Source organism: Homo sapiens, chromosome 5, assembly GCF_000001405.40.
Source record: "Homo sapiens chromosome 5, GRCh38.p14 Primary Assembly".
NCBI classification, from domain to species: domain Eukaryota; kingdom Metazoa; phylum Chordata; class Mammalia; order Primates; family Hominidae; genus Homo; species Homo sapiens.
In genome coordinates this window covers 67,886,437-67,891,647 of record NC_000005.10, presented here as the reverse complement: position 1 = coordinate 67,891,647, position 5,211 = coordinate 67,886,437, and the positions used below count along the sequence as shown (strand labels likewise).

At 42.9% G+C, this 5,211-nt stretch overlaps 2 annotated features.

Annotated features, from left to right (window-relative positions):
• Positions 1,190-1,760: an enhancer, noted in NCBI's record as "H3K27ac-H3K4me1 hESC enhancer chr5:67185716-67186286 (GRCh37/hg19 assembly coordinates)". NCBI's record gives its function as "activates a minimal SCP1, AML or CMV promoter by ChIP-STARR-seq in naive and primed H9 embryonic stem cells {active_cell/tissue: H9 hESC(naive and primed)}" and the evidence as "EXISTENCE:reporter gene assay evidence [ECO:0000049][PMID:30033119]".
• Positions 1,761-2,332: an enhancer, noted in NCBI's record as "H3K27ac-H3K4me1 hESC enhancer chr5:67185144-67185715 (GRCh37/hg19 assembly coordinates)". NCBI's record gives its function as "activates a minimal SCP1, AML or CMV promoter by ChIP-STARR-seq in naive H9 embryonic stem cells {active_cell/tissue: H9 hESC(naive)}" and the evidence as "EXISTENCE:reporter gene assay evidence [ECO:0000049][PMID:30033119]".

Genomic DNA, 5,211 nt, shown 5'->3' with positions numbered 1-5,211 from the left:
TTGGAGCATTTAATCCATTTACATTTAAAGTTAATATTGTTATGTGTGAATTTGATCCTGTCATTATGATGTTAGCTGGTGATTTTGCTCGTTAGTTGATGCAGTTTCTTCCGAGTCTTGATGGTCTTTACATTTTGGCATGATTTTGCAGCGGCTGGTACCGGTTGTTCCTTTCCATGTTTAGCGCTTCCTTCAGGAGCTCTTTTAGGGCAGGCCTGGTGGTGACAAAATCTCTCAGCATTTGCTTGTCTGTAAAGTATTTTATTTCTCCTTCACTTATGAAGCTTAGTTTGGCTGGATATGAAATTCTGGGTTGAAAATTCTTTTCTTTAAGAATGTTGAATATTGGTCCCCACTGTCTTCTGGCTTGTAGGGTTTCTGCCGAGAGATCCGCTGTTAGTCTGATGGGCTTCCCTTTGAGGGTAACCCAACCTTTCTCTCTGGCTGCCCTTAACATTTTTTCCTTCATTTCAACTTTGGTGAATCTGACAATTATGTGTCTTGGAGTTGCTCTTCTCGAGGAGTATCTTTGTGGCGTTCTCTGTATTTCCTGAATCTGAACGTTGGCCTGCCTTGCTAGATTGGGGAAGTTCTCCTGGATAATATCCTGCAGAGTGTTTTCCAACTTGGTTCCATTCTCCCCATCACTTTCAGGTACACCAATCAGACGTAGATTTGGTCTTTTCACATAGTCCCATATTTCTTGGAGGCTTTGCTCATTTCTTTTTACTCTTTTTTCTCTAAACTTCCTTTCTCGCTTCATTTCATCTTCCATTGCTGATACCCTTTCTTCCAGTTGATCGCATCAGCTTCTGAGGCTTCTGCATTCTTCACGTAGTTCTCGAGCCTTGGTTTTCAGCTCCATCAGCTCCTTTAAGCACTTCTCTGTATTGGTTATTCTAGTTATACATTCTTCTAAATTTTTTTCAAAGTTTTCAACTTCTTTGCCTTTGGTTTGAATGTCCTCCCGTAGCTCAGAGTAATTTGATCGTCTGAAGCCTTCTTCTCTCAGCTCGTCAAAGTCATGCTCCATCCACCTTTGTTCCGTTGCTGGTGAGGAACTGCGTTTCTTTGGAGGAGGAGAGGTGCTCTGCGTTTTAGAGTTTCCAGTTTTTCTGTTCTGTTTTTTTCCCCATCTTTGTGATTTTATCTACTTTTGGTCTTTGATGATGGTGATGTACAGATGGGTTTTTGGTGTGGATGTCCTTTCTGTTTGTTAGTTTTCCTTCTAACAGACAGGACCCTCAGCCGCAGGTCTGTTGGAGTACCCTGCCGTGTGAGGTGTCAGTGTGCCCCTGCTGGGGGGTGCCTCCCAGTTAGGCTGCTCGGGGGTCAGGGGTCAGGGACCCACTTGAGGAGGCAGTCTGCCCGTTCTCAGATCTCCAGCTGTGTGCTGGGAGAACCACTGCTCTCTTCAAAGCTGTCAGACAGGGACATTTAAGTCTGCAGAGGTTACTGCTGTCTTTTTGTTTGCCTGTGCCCTGCCCCCAGAGGTGGAGCCTACAGAGGCAGGCAGGCCTCCCTGAGCTGTGGTGGGCTCCACCCAGTTGGAGCTTCCCAGCAGCTTTGTTTACCTAAGCAAGCCTGGGCAATGGCGGGCGCCCCTCCCCCAGCCTCGCTGCTGCCTTGCAGTTTGATCTCAGACTGCTGTGCTAGCAATCAGCGAGACTCCGTGGGCGTAGGACCCTCCGAGCCAGGTGTGGGATGTAATTTCGTGGTGCGCCGTTTTTTAAGCCCGTCGGAAAAGCGCAGTATTCGGGTGGGAGTGACCCGATTTTCCAGGTGCCGTCTGTCACCCCTTTCTTTGACTCAGAAAGGGAACTCGCTGACCCCTTGCGCTTCCCAAATGAGGCAATGCCTCGCCCTGCTTCGGCTCGCGCATGGTGCGTGCACCCACTGACCTGCGCCCACTGTCTGGCACTCCCTAGTGAGATGAACCCGGTACCTCAGATGGAAATGCAGAAATCACCCATCTTCTGCGTCGCTCACGCTGGGAGCTGTAGACCTGAGCTGTTCCTATTCGGCCATCTTGGCTCCTCCCCCCAGGTATGTCTTTTTTTAGCCATGTGAGAAGGGGCTAATACAGCAGTAGAAAAAAAGGGGAAATATAGGAATGTGGATACAGAGAGAAGAATAAGGGAGAATCTTCCTTTGGGAACCTCAAGGCAAGCACAGTGAAATCTCTAAGAACAGTAAGGTCCTAACCAACACAAGGGTAACCCTGTACTTGGTTTGTGTGCATTAATTTTTCTTCCCCAGTGGACTTTAAAATGCTAGAACAGGGGCCATTTTGCACCCTGTTCTAGTCTTTACAGTGAAAGGGACAAATAGAAACAAAGAGGTAGTTGTATTAATATGCCAGATTAATGCAGACAAATTAACAGGGAAGCACCATTAAAATATAATACAATCTCAGGCAATAATTTGATAAAGTATAACCCAAGATAAAGATGGAAGAAAAATGGACTAAATTTGCCATGTAAACCAGGTAACTTTTAAGTTCTAAGGGCTATGGAATTTTCTGAAAACTCTATGTCAACATTCCATGGATGTAAGCAAACTGGGAAAAACTGGCAGACAGAAATGTGATAACTGCACAGCAAAGCCAAACCACCTAAATGATACTGATCTTCTTATTTGCTAAAGCAGGTTGCAGCACCCACCCAATTTATCTAAGAAATTAATCAATTATAAGTCAAAATAGAAACAGGGCACAGTCATGGTTTACCAATTTGGAATTAGAATTACATCTGTCATAAATCTGTTTTACTCACTCTGGTTCTCATTGTGATATTGATAAACCATTACCAAGTTGAAATTCTTCCAGGACTGAACATTTTGGGGCCAGACTATTTCTGCCTTGAGTAAAAGGCTGAATAGAGAGCAACAAAGCCATCGAAGGATCTTATTCTGAATAATATTCTCAGTAGGATACAATAGAGTTGGACTCTCATCAGTAGAGAATACTTTGGCTTAAAAATCTAGTCATTCCTACTGTGGATTCTAGATTTTAAAGTCCAGTGGCAACATCTTTGGAAAAATAAGCCTGGCTTGAGAGTTGAGGAAGTGCCCCACAGACTATTGGATGGGTTATATAAGGAAGAAATGATGGTTTCTCTTTTAAGGTCGGGTTATATTTGACTGTGAATCCATGTTGAGGAATCTCAAGGAACTGGAGAAAACATCTTGGCAAAGTCGAATCCCATAACTCATAACATCCAATACTTCTGTTCTTAAGAAAGCTTCCTTTTTCTGGTGGATCTTGTCTCAAAATTAAGTGATTGATCAGAGTATATAAGCAGATGATACACTTTACTAACATGGGCCCAACAAAAATCAACTATGTGACCTAAAGAAATATAAGTAACTTAAAACTCCAGCTCTTAGCTCAAAGCCTAGTAATAGTCAACTAATTTTTGTTGAACAATTAACAAACACATTCTCAAATTTTGTTATCTGTGGACTGTGGGCTTCCTAACCTAGTATACAGTTAGTATAATACAATCCTTGGATTAGCTTATAGGGAGGAAATGTTTGGAATACAGCCAGTTTCATTGCCAAATAAAGAATCATTGCTCTTAGTAAAGACTAGCTTATCTTATGGCAGGCCCTCTTGCACTGTGGTCTTTTTTTCTGTCCCTTGAATAAATCCTGGTATTTTCACCTCTGGACTTTTGCATATATTATTCTGGCTGACTTGAATTTTGCCCCACCTCTACTTCAAGACTCAGCTTGAATGTCACTTTCTTGAGAAACCTTCTCTGACGTTGTGTAAGATAAATATCTCCACTGTACTCCCCATAGCACTGAGCACTTCCCCTTTGTAGCACTTAGCTGAGGTGTGATTTTGACATTTGGGCTGTGAATGAGCATATGTCCATCTCCTCTCACAACTCTATCAAGGCTGGAATTGTGTCTGCTTCTTCTCACCATTGTATCTTTAGCTCCTAGCATGGTGGCTAACACTTAGAAGATGCTCAAATATTTGTGGAATGAATGGCTTAAGCATGTTTCTCATAAACCCATGTACTCTGGTGTGGCATTGATCCCTTTAAGGATGCCCTCCAGGCTTTGTCTTCCAACTTCCACTTCTTTTCTTTGCAATTGTTTATTGCCGTGGACCTTTCACTTGGGATTTCTTCCAAGGTCTTTGCTCAAATGCTCTCTGGTTCCCTGAACTCCTTAGTTCTAAGAAGAGCATAATTTCTCCTTTACTCAAGGAAATATTGCTATTGGCCAGTAGTGATTAACCAGGTCAAATATCAATCAGATGATGAATTTAATTCAGAGTGCTGTAAATATCAGCCATTTCTACCCACTTACCCATCCAGCCCTTTGGTCTGAGATCCTAGTGATGGATCTGAAAAGAGCCCTCCTCCCAGGGAAGGTAGTTTTAAATCCATCCCCTTCTTTGTCTGGTAGTGAGTTGCTCCTTAGGTCACCATTGTCCTTTATTTTGGCCAAGAAAATTACTACAAAGAAGGCCACTCATTGCCTTTTTCTCAGGGACTCTGAGGACCCTTTCCTAGCATTTAAGTAAGAATGTGTCACTTCTATCTGATAAATTAAAAATTAAATATTTGCCATGTGCAAGAAGTAGGAAAACAAAAGGTTGGGTCTATCTAATTCCTTTAATGTATGCACAGAAGCAGAGGCACTAAACATTGCCATTCAGAGCACGTCCCCTGGGAGAAGGCAGGGACACAGACTTCTGCTCTGTAGGTGAATTTTCCCTTTGCAGCTTGCCTGAATTCTACATTTGGACAATCTGCCTGCTTAAGGGCCTGCTTACTGATTGTTGTTTAATGCCAGTAAGCAGCAAAAGGAAAGCAGATCTACCAGGCCTTTTTGCTTCAAGACTAGTTGAGGCCAACCTGAACTGCTATGGAGAGCACCTATGGGCCCTTTTGAGAAACCGAAACTTAAGCATCAATATCCAAACCCTATGCCCTCTGATATTCTCCTGAGGCATCTGGCATGAGATTTCTCATGCTCCTTTATTTTGTGCCTGTCTTTCAGAATTGGGTTCTTAGGCAGTGGTGAACTGGGTAAGGGGAGGAAGAGGAATGTGTCTACTGTATTTAGGCAAAAAGCCATTCTTCATTCAGTAGTACAGTGCTAGAGCTGAGTTATATAAACAAGACTTTGAGACAGTATGGAAGATGGGAAAACCACATTCTTATTGATTAGCAACCCTCTTTCACAAATGGC